This window comes from Homo sapiens, chromosome 8 (genome assembly GCF_000001405.40).
Source record: "Homo sapiens chromosome 8, GRCh38.p14 Primary Assembly".
Lineage (NCBI taxonomy): Eukaryota > Metazoa > Chordata > Mammalia > Primates > Hominidae > Homo > Homo sapiens.
In genome coordinates this window covers 47,037,981-47,054,494 of record NC_000008.11, presented here as the reverse complement: position 1 = coordinate 47,054,494, position 16,514 = coordinate 47,037,981, and the positions used below count along the sequence as shown (strand labels likewise).

The following is a 16,514-nucleotide window of genomic DNA, read 5'->3' as shown; positions in this document are numbered from 1 at the left end:
TAAAATTTGGGGCTGGTATTTTTGTTTTAAGAAGGCTTAAATAGGTCTTTAATCTCCTGGTCTGTAAGATTTCTGCTGAGAAGTCTGCTGTTAGTCTGACGGCATTTACTTTATAGATGATTTGATGCTTTTCTTTAGGTGCTCTTATGATTTTTTCTTCATGTTGACTTTGGATAGGCTGATGACTACATGCCTTGGTGATATTCACCTGTAAAGTAACTTCTAGTTGTTCCCTGAGCATCTTGCATTTGCATATCTACATCTCTATCAAGACCATGAAAAATTTCCTGAAGCATTTCCTAAAATGTTTTCCAAGACTTTAACTTTTTTCTCCCTCAGGCATGCCTATAACTGGTGGGTTTGGTCGCTTTACGTAATCCCATATTTTTCAAAGGCTTTGTTCATCTTTATTATTGTTGTTGAGATGGAGTTTTGAACTTGTTGCCCAGGCTGGAGTGCAATGGCGTGATCTCAGCTCACCGCAACCTCCGCCTCCTGGGTTCAAGTGATTCTCCTGCCTCAGCCTACTGAGTAGCTGGGGTTACAGGTGTGCACCACCATGCCTGGCTAATTTTGTGTTTTCAGCAGAGACGGGGTTTCTGCATATTGGTCAGGCTGGTCTTGAACTCCTGACCTCAGGTGATTGGCCCACCTCGGCCTCCCAAAGTGCTGGGATTACAGGCATGAGCCAATGTGCCTGGCCCAAAGGCTTTGTTCATTTTTAAAAATACTTTTTTAAAAAAATTTTTGTGTGAGTAGGTGAATTTGAAAGATCAGCCTTTATATTCTAAAATTCTTCTGCTTGGTCTAGGATGTTGTGAAAACTTTTGACTCTGTTTAACTTTGCATGCATTTTCAGAAGTTCTGTTTTTTAAAATCTGTCTTTCCTTTCACATTTTAAATTGTTTTTTGGTGTTTCATTGTGTTTAATTTTTAACTTTTATTTTAAATTCAGGGGTACATGTGCAGGATATTCAGGTTTGTTACATAGATCAACATATGCCATGTTGATTTGTTGCACAGATCATCTCATAACCCAGGTATTAAGTCTAGCACCCATTAGCTATTCTTCCTGATCCTTTCCCTTTTCCCACCTCCTTCCGTCCTACAGGTTCTAGTGTGCTGGATATTAGTACTGGGAGCACTATCCAGTGCTGGATATTAGACCCTTTGTCAGATGGGTAGATTGAAAAAGTTTTTTTCCCATTTTGTAGCTTTTCTGTTTACTCTGTTGATAGTTTCTTTCGCTGTGCAGAAGCTCTTTAATTTAATTAGATCTTATTCATCTGCTTTTGCTTTTGTTGCAGTTGGTCTTCATCATGAAATCTTTGCCTATGCCTGTGTCCTGAATGGTATTGCCTAGGGTTTCTTCTAGAGTTTTTACAGTTTTTGGGTTTTACATTTAAATCTTTAATCTATCTGGAGTTGGTTTTTGTATATGGTGTAAGGAAGGTTTCCAGTTTCAATTTTCTGCATATGGCTAGCCAGTTCTCCTAGCACCATTTGTTAAATAGGGAATCCTTTCCCCATTGCTCATTCTTCGTAAGTGTGTCAAAGATCAGATGGTGGTAGTTGTGTGGTCTTATTTCTGGGTTCTCTATTCTGTTCTATTTGTCTGTGTGTCTGTTCTTGTACCAGTACCATGCTATTTTTGTTTTTATAGCCCTGTAGTATAAAGTCAAGTAGTGTGATGCCTCCAGCTTTTATTTGTCTTTTTGCTTGGGATTGCCTTGGCTATTTGGGCTCTTTTTGGTTTCATATGAATTTTAAAATAGTTTGTTTCTAATTCTGTGAAGAATGTCAGTGGTAATTTAATGGGAATAGCATTGAATTGATTAATTGCTTTGGGCAACATGTTATTCTGTTTACACATGTGTATAAAGAATACCTGAGACCAAGTAATTTTTAAAGAAAAGAGGATTAATTGACTCACAATTATGCATGGCTTGGAAGGCCTCAGGAGACCTACAATTATGGCAGAAGGTGAAGGGGAAGCAAGGCACATCTTACCTGGTGGCAGGAGATAGAGAGTAAAGGGGGAACTGCCACACACGTTTGAACCATTAGACCTCATTACAACTCACTTATCATGAGAACAGCATGGGGAAAACCACCTTCATGATCCAGTTATGTCCCACTAGGTCTCTTTCCTGACATGTGGGAATTACAATTTGACATGAGATTTGGGTGGGGACACAGAGCAAAACCTTATTCCACTCCTGGATTCTCCCAAATCTCAGGTCCTCCTCACATTTGAAAATAATCACACCTTCCCAACAGTCCCCCAAACTCTTAATTCATTCCAGCATTAACTCAAACATCCAAGTCCAAAGTCTCATGTGAGACTAGGCAAGTTCCTTTCACCTATGAGCATGTAAAATAAAAAAACAAGTTAGTTATTTCTTAGATATGATGGAAGTACAGGCATTGGGTAAATGCTCCCATTCCAAATGTGAGAAATTGGCCAAAACAAAGAGGTTACAGGCCCCATGCAATTGGAGAACCCAACAGGGCAGTCATTAAATCTTAAAGCTCCAAAATAATCTCCTTTGACTCCATGCCACACTGACACAAGGCATGGCCTCCCAATGCCTTGGACAGCTTCACCCCAGTGGCTCTGCAGGGTACAGCCCCTGTTGCTGCTTACTGGGACTAGCACTGAGTGCCTTCGGCTTTTCCAGTTTATGGTGCAAACTGTCAGTGGATCTACCATTCTGGGGTCTGGAATATGGTGGCCCTCTTCTCACAGCTCCATGAGGCAGTGCTCCAGTGGGGACTGTCTGTGACATCTCCAACCCCACATTTCCCGTCTGCACTGCCCTAGTAGAGCTTCTCCATGAGAGCTTTGTCCCTGCAGCAGACTTCTGCCTGGACATCCAGGCACCTCCATATATCCTCTGAAATCTAGGTAGAGGCTCCTAAATTGTTGCCTTCTATGCACCCACAGGCTTAACAGCATGTAGAAGCCACCAAAGCTTGGGACTTGCACCCTCTGAAGCCAGTGTCTGAGCTGTACCTTGGCCTCTTTTAGCCACAGCTGGAGCTGGAGCAGCTGGGACACAGGGCTCCATGTCCCAAAGCTGCACAAAGCAGTGAGATCCTGGGCACAGTCAAGAAAACTATTTTTTTTCTCTTAGGCCTTCAGGCCTTTGATGGGAGGGGCTGCCATGAAGATCTTGAAATGCCCTGAAGACATTTTTTCCCATTGTCTTGGTTATTAACATTCACCTTCTCTTATGCAAATTTCTACAGCCACTATCTTGAATATCTCCCCAGAAAGTGCATTTTTTCCCCAACACATGGTCAGGCTGCAAGTTTTCCAAATTTTTATGCTCTGTTTTTTTTTTAAAATGTAAATTCCAATTTCAGACCATCTCTTTGTGAAGACACATGACTATACACGTTAAGAAACAGTCAGGTCATGGCCGGGTGTGGTGGCTCACGCCTGTAATCCCAGCACTTTCGAAGGCCGAAATGGGTGGATCACGAGATCAGGTGTTCGGGACCAGCCTGGCTAACATGGTGAAACCCCGTTTCTACTGAAAACACAAAAATTAGCTGGGTGTGGTGGCACGTGCCTGTAATCCTAGCTACTCAGGAGACTGAGGCAGGAAAATCATTTGAACCTGAGAGGTGGAGGTTGCAGTGAGCCAAGATCACGCCACTGCACTCCAGTTTGGGTGACAGAGCTATACGCAGTCTCAAATAAATAAACAGCCAGGTTATATCTTGAATGATTTGCTGCTTAGAAATTTCTTCTGGGATGGGCACGGTGGCGCTTGCCTGTAATCCCAACAGTTTTGGAGGTTGAGGTGGTTGGATCACTTGAGGTCAGGAGTTTGAGACCAGCCTGACCAACATGGGGAAACGGTATCTCTACAAAACGTACAAAAATTAGCTGGGTGTGGTGGCATATGCCTGTATTTCCAGTTATGCAGGAGGCTGAGATATGAGAATTGCTTGAACCCAGGAAGCGGAGATTGCAGTGAGATGAGATCACACCATGGCACTCTAGCCTGGGTGACAGAGCAAAAGTCTCTCAGAAAAAAAAAAAAAAAAAAAAATTCTTCTGCAAAGATACTCCAAATAATCTCTCTGAAGTTCCAAGATCCATAGTTCTCTAGTTTAGGGGAAAAATGCTGCCAGTCTCTGCTAAAGCATAGCAAAAGTGATTTTATTTTTGTGGCAGTTGTGAATGAGATTTAATTTATGATTTGGCTCTTGGCTTGCCTGTTGTTGTATGGGAATGCTGGTGATTTTTGCAGATTGCTTTTATGTTCTGAGACTTTGCTAAAGTTGCTTATGAGCTTTTTCTGTGAAGCTGTTGGGCTGGGATGACGGGGTTCTATTGAAATAGAATCATGTCATCTGCAAACAAAGATAGTTTGACTTCTCTTTATATTTGAATACCCTTTATTTCTTTCTCTTGCCTGATTGCCCTGGTCAGAACTTCCAATACTATGTTGAATAGGAGTGGTGAGAGAGGGCAGCTTTCTCTTGTGCTGGTTTTCAAGGGGAATGCTTTTATCTTTTGCCTATTCACTATAATAGTGGCTGTGAGTTTGTCATATAAGCTTTTATTTTGAGGTACGTTCTTTTAATACCTGGTTTACTGAGAGTTTTTAACATGAAAGCATGTTGAATTTTATCAAAGGCATTTTCTGCATCTGTTCACATAATCATGTGGTTTTTGTACCTAGTTCGGTGTATGTGATGAATCACATTTGATTTGTGTGTGTTGAATCAGCTTTGCATCCTGGGAATGAAGTCAGCTTGATTGTGATGGATAAGCTTTTTGCTGTGGTGGATAAGCATTTTTGCAGTGCTGGTGGATTCAGTTTGCCAGTATTTTGTTGAAGATTTTGGCATCAATCTTCTTCAAGAATATTGGAGTGAAGTTTTCTTTTGTTATGTCTCTGCCAGGTTTTGGTGTACTGGCCTCATAGATTGAGTTTAGCTGTTTGGAATAGTTCCAGATGGTACCAGCTCTTCTTTGTACCTCTGGTAGTATTCAGCTGTGAATTCATCTGGTCCTGGGCTTTTTTTTTTTGTTTGTTTGTAGGCATTTATTACTGCCTCAAGTTCAGAACTCATTATTGGTCTATTCAGGGATTCAGTTTCTTCCTGGTTCAGTCTTGGAAGGTTGTATGTATCCAGGATTTTATCTGTTTCTTCTAGATTTTCTAGTTTATGTGCATAGGGGTGTTTATAGTATTCCCTGATAGTTGTTTGTATTTCTGTGGGGTCAGTGGTGATATCCTTCTTATTATTTCTGGTTTTGTCTATTTGAATCTTCTCTCTTTTCTTCTTCATTAGTCTAGCTAGTGGTCTATTTTAATAATTTTTTCAAAAAACCAGCTCCTGCATATGTTGATTTTTAAAAGGGTTTTTCGTGTCTCTATCTTTTTTAGTTCAGCCCTGATTTTGATTATTTCTTGCCTTCTTCCAGCTTTGGGGTTTGTTTGCTCTTGGTTCTCTCATTCTTTTAGTTGTTATTTAGGTTGTTGACTTGAGATCTTTCTGGCTTTTTGATGTGGGCATTTAGTGCTGTAAATTTCCCTCTAACACTCCTTTAGCTGTGTCCCAGAGATTCCCAGGTGTATTGTATATTTGTTCTCATTAGTTTGAAAGAACTTCTTGATTTCTCCCTTAAGTGCATTATTTACCCTTTCAGAAGCAGGTGGTTCACCTTCCATGTAGTAATATGGTTTTGAGTGAAATTCTTAATCCTGAGTTCTAATTTGATTGTGCTGTTGTCTGAGAGACTGTTTATTGTTATTTCAGTTCTTTGGATTTGCTGAGGAGTGTTTTACTTCCAATAATGTGGTCAGTTTTACAATAAGTGCCATGTGGCGATGAGAAGGATGTATATTCTGTTTTGGGGTGGAGAGTTCTGTACATATCTATTAGGTTCACTTGATTTAGAGCTGAGTTCAGTTCCTGAATATCTTTGTTAATTTTCTGTCTCAATGATCTGTCTAATATTTTCAGTGGGGTGTTAAAGTCTCCCACTATTATTGTGTGGGAGTCTAAGTCTCTTTCTAGGTCTCTAAGAACTTGTTTTATGAATCTGGGTGCTCCTGTATTGGGTTCATACATATTTTGGATAGTTAGCACTTGTTGAATTGAGCCATTTACCATTATGTAATGCCCTTTTTTGTCTTTTTTTGGTTTTAAGTCTGTTTTTTTCAGAAACTAGGATGGCAACCCCTGCTTTTTTCAACTTTTTATTTGCTTGGTAAATTTTCCTCCATCCCTTTATTTTGAGCCTATTTGTGTCTTTGCACATGAGATGGCTCTCTTAAAGACTGCGTACCAATGGGTCTTGATTTTTTATCCGGCCTGCCAATGTGTGTCTTTTAATTGGGGCATTTAGCCCGTTTACATTTAAGGTTAAAAATATTATGTGTAGGCTGGGCGCGGTGGTTCACACCTGTAATCCCAGCACTTTGGGAGGCCAAGGCAGGTGGATCACGAGGTCAGGCGTTCGAGACCAGCCTGGTCAACATGGTGAAACCCCGTCTCTACTAAAAATACAAAAATTAGCTGGGTGTGGTGGTGCATGCATATAATCCCAGCTACTTGGGAGGCTGAGGCAAGAGAATCACTTGAACCAGGGAGTTGGAGGTTTCAGTGAGCCAAGATCATGCCACTGCACTCCAGCCTGGCGACAGAGCAAGACTGTCTCCAAAAAAAAAAATTATTAGGTGTAAATTTGATCCTGTCATCATGATGCTGCCTGATTATTTTGTAGACTTGTTTATGTGGTTGCTTCATAGTGACACTGATCTGTGTACTTCAGTGTGTTTTTGTAGTGGCTGGTAATAGTTTTACTCTTCCATATTCAGTGCTTTCTTCATGAGCTCTTGCAAGTCAGGTCTGATGGTAATGAATTCCTGTAGCATTTGCTTGTCTGCAAAGGATCTTATATCTTCTTTGCTTATGAAGGTTAGTTTGGCCATGTATGAAATTCTGGATTGGAATTTCTTTTCTTTAAGAAAGCTGAACATTGGCCTTCAATCTATTCTGTCTTGTAGGGTTTCTGCTGAGAGTTCCACTATTCATCTGATGGGCTTCCCTCTGTAGATGATGTGTCCTTTCTTTCTGGCTGCCCTTAATATGTTTCCTTCATTTGGACCTTGCAGAATCTGATGATTATGTGTCTTGGGGACGATCTTCTGTGGATTATCTTACTGGGGTCTCTGCATTTCCTGAATTTGAATGTTGGCCTGTCTAGGTAGACTGGGGAAGTTCTTCTCGGTGATGTCCTGAAATATGTTTTCCAAATTGTTTTTGTTATCCCTGTCTGTTTCATGTACTCCAGTTAGTCATAGATTCAGTCTCTGTATAATCCCATATTTCTTTGAGGTTTTGTTCATTCCTTTTTATTCTTTGTTATGTCTTCTTGCCTGCCTATTTCAGAATGCCAGTCTTCAAGCTCTGAGATTCTTTCCTTTGCTTGGTGTATTCTGCTACTAATACTTGTGATTGCATTGTGAATTTCTTGTAGTGTGTTTTTCAGCTCTATCAGGTCAGTTATGTTCCTCTTTGTACTGGCTATTTTGGCTGTCAGCTCCTGCATTGGTTTATCATGATTCTTAGCTTCCTTACAATGGGTTACAACTTGCTTTTTTAGCTCAGTGACGTTCATTTTCATCCACATTGTGAATGAAGCCTACGTGTGTCATTTTAGCTATCTGAGCCTCAGCCAAGTTCTGAATCCTTGCTGGAGAGGTGTTGTCATTTTGAAGGAGAGGGGCACTCTGGCTTTTTGAGCTTTTATTATTTTTGCACTGATTCTTTCTCATCTTTGTGGACTTACCTACCTTCGATATTTGAGGTTCCTGATCTTTGGGGGTTTTGTGTTTTTGTTGTTGTTTATCTGGTTGTCTGTTTTTCTTTTAACAGGCTGGCCACTATTTGGTAGGGCTGCTGCAGTTTGCTGGGGTTCTATTCTAGACCCTTGTTGCCTCAGTTTTTCCGGTACCTGAAGGTATCACCAGTGAAGCCTGTGAAATAGCAAAGATGGCATCCTGTTTCTTCCTCTGGTAGCTTCATCCCCGGGGGTTACTGATCTTTTTCCAGCCTGAATGCACCTGTAGGAGGTGACTGGAGACCTGGGTTGGAACATCTCACCCAGTCAGAAGGAAAGGGATCGGGGACCAACTTAAAGAAGTAGTCTGGCTATATTTTGTAGAGCAGCTGTGCTATATTGGGGATCCCTTCAGCCTCCCAATTGGTTTGGACTCTTTAAGGCCCACAGGTTGGACCAGCTGAGATGCCCAAAGAGCAAAGGTGGTGGCCTGCTTCACTCCTTAGGCACTCCATCCGAGGGAGAAATTATAACTTTGTTTGCCATAGAACATGAACAGGAGTGGCTAGAGGCTTTGGCTGAGAGATCCAGCAAGGAGGAATGGATTTCGGTCCTGTTTAAAGAAGCAGTCTGGCCATGCCTCAACAAAACAGTCATACTATACTGGGTAATTACTTTTGGCCTGGTCTGCTTAGACTCACCAAAGCCCCCAGGCTTGAATGGCCGAGTCACCCAAACAGCAAAGACGATGACGCACTCCTTCCCACAAGCATTTTTTCTCAGAGCTATCAGAACCCTGCCTGTAATATACAGGTGGGTGCGGCTGGAGGAGTGGATCAGGGACCCATTTAAAGAAGCAGTTTGGCCACACCTCAAGAAAACAATCATGCCAGGCTTCAAAACCACCTCCGCCCCTTTGGGTATGGACTCTCCATAGGTCTACGGCTGCAATGGCTGAGATGTCCAAATAACCAAGGTGGCAGCCCATCCCAAGGAGAGATCAGAACTCTGTCTATAGAATATGGGTGGGAGGGGGTGGCTGGAGGGTGGGGGTGGCTGAAAGCCCCAGTTGGGAAGTCCCATCCAGTGAGGAGGAATGGATTGGAGTCCCACTTAAAGAAGCAGTCTGACCATGTTGTGGCAAAGCAGCTGTGCTGCGCTGAGGGTACTTTTTCTTATCTGGACTTTTGGTATTCTCCACAGCCTGCAGGCTGGAACAGCTGAGTTCATCAAACAGAAAAGATGATAGTGCGCCCCTCCCTTGGGGGCTCCATCCTGTCTCAGGCAGGCTCCACCCTGTTTTTAGTGGCTGGCTGGAATTCCAAGCCAATGGGTCTTATCTTGTGAGGTGCCATTGAAGTGGGGCCCACAATCTTGCGAGGTGCCATGGAAGTGGGGCCTGCAGACTGATGCTGCTCAGCTCCCTCGATTCAGCCCCCTTCCTAGGGATATGTATGGACCTTCGACCTTGCCTGAGTTGCAGTCATCTTTGTCAGGGATCCTGGGCTCAGAGTCTGTAAAGTTCCTGGGTCTCTCTGCGTGCCTGAGCAGCTGCTCTGCTGAGACTCCACACAGCTCTTGTGTGTTGGACCCAAGGCCCCTGTGGTGTGGACTCACAGGGTGATGTCCTGATTGGAGAGTTACAAAGATCCAGGGGAGAAATGTGGTTTCCCTGGGGTCACACATTGACTCACTGCTTTTCTTGGCTGGGGGTGGGGGCTCCCTTTCCAAATTGTTTATCCGATTTCTTTGTGGTGGTTTTCAATGCTCTCGGATCTCATTAAGCTTCCTTACAAGCCATAAGTTATTTTCTTTATTTGTCATTTCAGAATTTTTATTTTGTTTAGGACCCATTTCTAGACCACTAGTGTGATCCTTATGGGTGTTATAACACTCTGTTTTTCATGGTGCTAAAGTTCTTATTCTGATTTTTTTTTTTAATCTGGAGAAGCTGTCATTTATTATTTTTGAATTCACTTTTGTTCAGATGGGATTTTACCCTCCCAAGGGTGTGACTATTTCATATGTCAAGTAGCATTTCTTTGGCTTTGCTTCTTTGTGCTATTAGGGGGCTAAGCTTTCTATAAATTGCTTGGTTGTAGATAACCTTTGTGTAGTGGTGTTCTCAAATGCTGGTTTTTTGTAGTATGTAGTAGTGGTGTACTGTGCATGTGAATAGGCTTGCTGTCTTTTGCAGAGATGGGGAGGAGGCTCATAGTTTTTCACAGCAGTGTGCACTCTGTCAGCAGGAATCATTTTGAATTTTGCCGTCCATCCTATAGACCAGTAGGTGGCACTTGTAAGAGCTAGCTGAATGCTGTGCAGTCATGTCAGCATAAGTTGTAATGGTTTTTGCAGATTGGTATCAAAGTCAGTAGGCTGTACTTGCCAGAAAGAGGCAGCTTCAGTGGTGGCAGTGAGATTTTTACCTGGCCTTTTAAAACCAAGAGAAGTGCCAGGGTATCTTAGTGATGGGCAGGGCTGTGGAGCTCCTGGGGTCCCTCTCCAGTTTTCTGCTGCCAAGGTGGCTAGAGTGGGCAATGCTAGCCATATATGGGTTGGTATATCAGTGAGCAGGCTCTTCAAGGCAGGCGTAAGTACCAGCTGTTGCAGCAGTCTAGGCACAGCTCCCAGGCTGCTGGCGCAACCCTTCAGGGAGGAATAGAGGTGTCTCTCCACCACAGAGCCCACTGAGAAGAAGAAGAGAGTGGCCCAGAGTGTTCAGCATAGCAGGTGGCAGTGGGATCCGCCCAACTCCCACACCCCTGACCTGGCAGGTCTCCCTCCAGAGTCCACCTGCTGCCAGCAGGCCAGAATGTTTAGGGTGGTCCCAAACAGTCTACATTCAGATTGTTGAACAGTTCCAGAAACTGTGGCTCTGTGACCACACCCTTTTAGGTTTAGTCTCGTGACCAAAGTGGGGGCCCAGTTACTATGACACAGCATACATTCATACCATAGTATTCTCTGTGTTCTGACAGTGGGAATTCCTCCCCTGCTGGAGGTCACATCATAAATCTCATCTCCATGCCCCTGGGTGATTGTGTTGAGTCCTGGGGAACTGGGATAAGCCCAGTAGTTTTGTCCTTTGGCCACTCAGGCTTTAGCACCTGTTGTGATCAGAAGGGGTAAACTGCTTCCAGGCCACCAACGGAACACTCAGGTAGGGCAACTGCAACTATGCCACATGTCTCAACTCCCTGTGAGAATGGTCAGGCAGGCAGTCTTTGGAGGAACTGGAAAGCATGGGGTGTGTGGCTTGAATGTTCCTCAGTCCTACAGCAATGGTGGTGGAACCTGTTTAGAGAGCAAGAGAGTGCCTTGGGCCCCACTCATTCCCTGGCCTGACAGGCAACAGCATCAAGGTATGATGCAAAGCCATCAAGGATGGGCAACAATATTATGCTTTGCTGCAGCTGCCCAGGACATGGAAGTCTTTCACTTTTTATTTAAATGCATACATTTATAAACATTGTCAGCAGAGGGATAGAGGGGCTGTACTTATATACATCAACATGTTTTGTTTTTTTATCATGCTAGGAGTTGATTTGGTTCAGGCAAATATTCTTAAAGTTTAAAATATAGAGACCTCACCATACAGAAAACACCTGTTTAATGTCTGACCTGCTCAGATTTCATTTACTTGTATTGAGAATGCTTTTTTATTTTATTTATTCATGACCTTTTACATATTTATGAGGTACATGTGATTATTTATTACATGCGTAGAATGTAGAATAAAGTCATGAGTATTTGAAGTATCAATCAGCTTATTTATAATTTTTTTGTGTTGGTAACATTTCAAGTCCTCTCTTCTAGCTACTTTGAAATATACTGTGCTATCTGTAGTCACCACACTCTGCTATCAAACATTAGAATTTATTTCTCCATTAACCAACCTCTATTCATCCCCCCTTCCACTCTCACACCTTCCCAGCCTCTGGTAGTTATAATTCTATTTTCTATCTTCATGAGGTCAACTTTTTTAGGTCCCACAAATGAATCAGAACATACAATATTTATCTTTCTCGCCTGGCATGTTTTACTTAGCATAATAACCTCCAGATCCATCCATGTCATTGTAAATGACATTTAACTTTTCAAAGACTGAAAACATTCCACTGTGCATATATACAACATTTTCTTTATGTTTTATTGACACTTTGGTTGATTTCATAGGTTTGCTATTGTGAAGAGTGCTATAAACATGTGAGTGCTGGTATCTCTTCGATATACTGATTTCTTCTCTTTTGGATAAATACCCAATAGTGGGATTGCTGGATTGTATGATAGTTCTACTTACAGTTCTTAAAGAAATGTTTGGCCAGGCATGGTGGCCATGCCTTAGAAGTTAGCAGTGGCCTATATAGTGCAGTGTGATTATGGTGATTGTTTTTTGTTTTGTTTTACCTATTCTCTCTTGTTCTTTGGCAAACAGCTTTCAGCCTTAGACAATGTGCTATGTGACATCGATGAGTCCCTTAATTTATGGCCCCTTTTCCCACAGGTTTTTATGCAGCCAATGTTATAGCTGTTGGTCTTAAGCTAAAGGTGGGTGGGTTATGGCACCCAGTGTGGGCTGGATTTAGAATATGAATTGCTACAGTTTTGTTTTGAAGAACATGGAGCATCAGCAGATGATGGGCATGTAGGGCCTCCATAAAGAGTGCAGCTGAGGGAAAGATTCACACACAGACACACACACACACACACACATATATATATATTTTTAAATTATACTTTAAGTTCTAGGGTACATGTGCACAACGTGCAGGTTTGTTACATGCAGGTTGCATATATGTGCCATGTTGGTGTGCTGCACCCATTAACTCGTCATTTACATTAGGTATATCTCCTAATGCTAAGTACAAGAGCATCATGGGTTGGGAGAGGTCAAGGTAATTATTGACCCCACCTTTTACAATTTGTCAACCAGGGTTGCAGGCCAGGAATTTAGTGCAACTAAATTTTATGTATAAACTAAAGAACTAGTGTGTAAGTGAGCTTTATGTTATGTGTGCAGATGTAGGTTGGCATTCACTTTTTGCACTATTTTAGGCTGAATTCAGCGTCTAAAGATGGGCTAATTCATGGATATACATGGCTTCCACATAGGCTTTTAAAAGCCAGTCCCCACACTGTAGTTTTAAGTTAGTCATGGATTTGTTAATCAAAATAAACTGTGATCTCGGTATTAGACCATTTTGAGACCTAAAAGGCATCCTTGCCCACAGAAGGGTAGTAGAGTTTTATTAACAAATGTGCAAAAAGACATGAGCCTTCTTATAAAAAATGGCCCCTTTTTGGGTTGACGTAAAAAAATACCTCAATGAAGCTATTATGACACCGAAGTCTAGGAAGCCTGTGTTTGGAGGACTGCGTCTCAAGAATCAGCTTTGCTCAGGAAGCCATGGGTTTAAGAGTATGCTTCAAACTTAGTATAAGAGTAAGTGCATCAGAATAACAAGAATAAAGAAATTTAGGAATATTTACCTGAAGGAAACAAAGGATTTCCTTATGAGAAAGGTTGCGGTTTTATTGGTTTGGATCAATAGATGTAAAGGGGAAACAAGACCTGTAAGGAGAGACAAAGGTAGATGGTCTACCTGTTCTCAGAAGGTTTCAGAAAAGGGGTTGTGCTTTCACTGTTGCTATATCAAAAAGAGTAACTGGAGCCTGACAAAATTTAGAGAGGAAGCAAGGCAGGATCTCAGTAGACTAGAGTAATTTCTGAGAGGGTGCGTCCAAATGCTGCAAACTGTCTCATAAGTGTTAGGAGAAACCAACTCTCCAAGCAAATATTGAGACAACTGTATGACTTGGTTACACAATATTAGAACAAATTTGAGGGCAAACGTGGGGCAGAGCAGCATAAAAAACTAAAAAAAAGGAGGTGACTTAAGGTGATGATGTATTATACACCGTTCCCTGAAGAAACATCCCCAAGCAATTTTTGGTTAGGACTCGAGGTAAGGCACAGAAAAGATCATTTATATTGGAGGGGTGTGGACAGAAGAACTATAATATGTACTGAGCGCATTATAGATGTTGGGTGATGGAGGGGTATCTTCTGGGATGGATCATCTTCCCAGGAAGCTTGACTGTAGACAAAATATGTTTGAACAGCAGATATTTTTGACAGACCCAGAACCTGCTATTTTCGACAGACCCAGAACCTGCTATTTTCATATATCTCACCATGGAAAACTCTATTAACCACAATCTAGCAGAATATACTAGTAAAATGTCTGGGCCTGAGAGCAATGGAAACGTAAACAGAAAGAACTCAGATCCTGCCAACATCATGATCCTACTTGGCAGAAGAAAAGAAACCTCTCAGGTAGGTTAATCAGCTCAGTCTTCCTGAAACTACTAGTGGAGAAAATGAAAACACTTGAGACGTATATCATAAAAGACATGACAGACAGAAAATGTTCAGAGCCTGTAGCATCCTAAACCAGAGGAAACATCATCTCTTGGGGAGTAATCATGAGAGATTTTTTTCCATGAGGCTGCAAGGAATGCAGTTCACCAGAAGCAGCTTTATTTAAGGAACTTGCTTAAATAAGAAATCCAAATTCTTACCTTAAAGTCCATAAAAGCTAAAGTCTGAAAAATTCCTGCTGTCTTTGTTGAGCAGTATGAATCCAAAGAAAGTAAAGCCTCAAATCCCAACTTAAATTCCAAACTTATTCTCTCCAACTTCTCATTCTGTTCAGTTTCAGTTAGATGAATTCTCTATATCTGCATTTCTTTCAGCAGCTACAGCCTGACTCTTTCTCGGGAATGGGAAATTCCCGAGAATTGCTCTCCAGCTGGAAAAGTTCTGGGGACTGAGGGGCAGGAGAATCTTCACTGGGAGCCAGGTTTCACAGGCCTAAGCAATTCTGTAGTGAGTGACAGCAGCCATTGTGTCTCAGGACCAAAACTATCAGCTCCTAGGATACAGTGTTGGCTACATGGCTAGGTCCACACTTACTATAGCATTAGAATGGCACTCAGTGGGGAAGTTGAGACTAAAAGGCTGAGAAAATACTGAATCAGAAGAACTTCTTAGGACCTGATGCCCAGTGGGTGAGGTGGGGGATGCTTCCACTGCAAATTTTAGAGATTAAAAGGCCAGGAATATCTCAGATGACAATAACTCAGAAAGAAGATAAGTGAATCTCAGCCCTTAACCCACTCTGGTCCCACAGTTAGGATGAATCCCATAGAGTCAAATTTAATCTCTTATGAGAGGTTTCTCTCAATTTATTTTTTATTGTGATATAATCTATATAACATAAAATCCACTGTTTAAAAGCATATAATTCAGTGATTTTTAGTATATTAACTATGTATTGTGACCATCACTAGTGTCTCACTCTTGATTATCTCTGCCACCCCAAAAAGAAACCCTTTACTGATTAGCAGTGAGTCCCAATTCTTCCCTTCTCTCATCTCCTGACAACCAGAAATCTAGTTTTTGTCTCTACAAATTTACGCAGTTTGGATAATTCATGTCAGTGGAATCAAGCCATATTGTAGCCTTTTGTGACTGGCTTCTTTCCATTAGCACAGTGTTTTCAAGATTCATCTATATTATATCATGTAGCAATACTTATTCCTTTTTATGTCTGAACATGTTTTGGAAATATACCACATTTTGTTCATTAATTCATCAGTTGATGGGCATTAAGTTGCTTCAGGATTTTAGCAATTATGCATAATGCTGCTATGAACATTTCTATCCAACTCTAATAGATTTTTAGGGTAATTCTCATGTACCCCAGACAAGCATCTCCTATAGAGTTCTTTTATCTCCTTGGGAAGATGTATTCCTAGGTTTTTGTTTGTTTTCTTTTTGTTTTCACTATAAGTGAGATTGCATTCTTGATTTGGTTCTCAGCTTGAATGTTGATTGTATATGGAAATAATACTGATATTTATATGTAGATTTTGTATCCTGAAACTTTACCACATCATTTATCAAATCTAGGAGTCTTTTGGAGGAATCCTTGGGGTTTTCTAGGTATAGAATTATATTTTCAGTGAAGAGAGATAGTGTGACTTCTTCTTTTTCTATTTGGATGCCTTTTATTTCTTTCTCTTGGCTGATTGCTGTGGTTAGGATTCCTAGTACTATGTTGAATAGGAGTGGTGTAAGTGGACATCCTTGTCTTATTCCAGTGCCAAGAGGGAAGGTTTCTAAATTTTCCCCTTCAGTATGATGTCAGCCTCAGGTCTGTCACAGATGGCTCTTCATATTTTGAGGTATGTTTCTTTGATGCCTACTTTGTTAAGGGTTTTTATCATACAGGGATGGGCTGATCAGCAGTTTAGTAAAGTTGAAACTAGTATTTCTTTTTCAGACACGTTTGAGTTTCTATAATGACCTTTGACAACAGTATGTACTGGATTCTAGAATATAATTATGTTTAGGATAACATTGCTAGTAAATGGGGATTGCTTTATTTTCTAAAACGTGCGGGTTTGGAAAACCATGATGTGCACTTTTGTATTCTCTATTAATGCTTTGGATCCTTAAAAGTGAGGCTCCTGAGTTGACTTAGGAGCGAACAAACACAATTTCTGAGGCCCTGAAAGAACTGCACCCATTCCCAAGAAAGAGTCAGGCTGTAGCTGCTGAAAGAAATGCAGATATAGAGAATTCATCTAACTGAAACTGAACAGAATGAGAAGTTGGAGAGAATACGTTTGG

General features: G+C 41.4%; 1 long non-coding RNA gene across 2 annotated transcripts in view; it reads right to left on the bottom strand.

Annotated features, from left to right (window-relative positions):
* Positions 1-16,514, bottom strand: part of LOC105375815 (uncharacterized) — an 80,550-nt gene that overhangs the window by 29,698 nt on the left and 34,338 nt on the right. Inside the window, exon 3 of one of the 2 annotated variants that reach the window (XR_928842.3) lies at positions 13,307-13,388. The exons of the other annotated variant lie outside the window; for it this stretch is intronic. This is a non-coding gene — a long non-coding RNA (uncharacterized LOC105375815). The remainder of the gene's footprint in view (positions 1-13,306; positions 13,389-16,514) is intronic. 2 annotated transcript variants of the gene reach the window in all.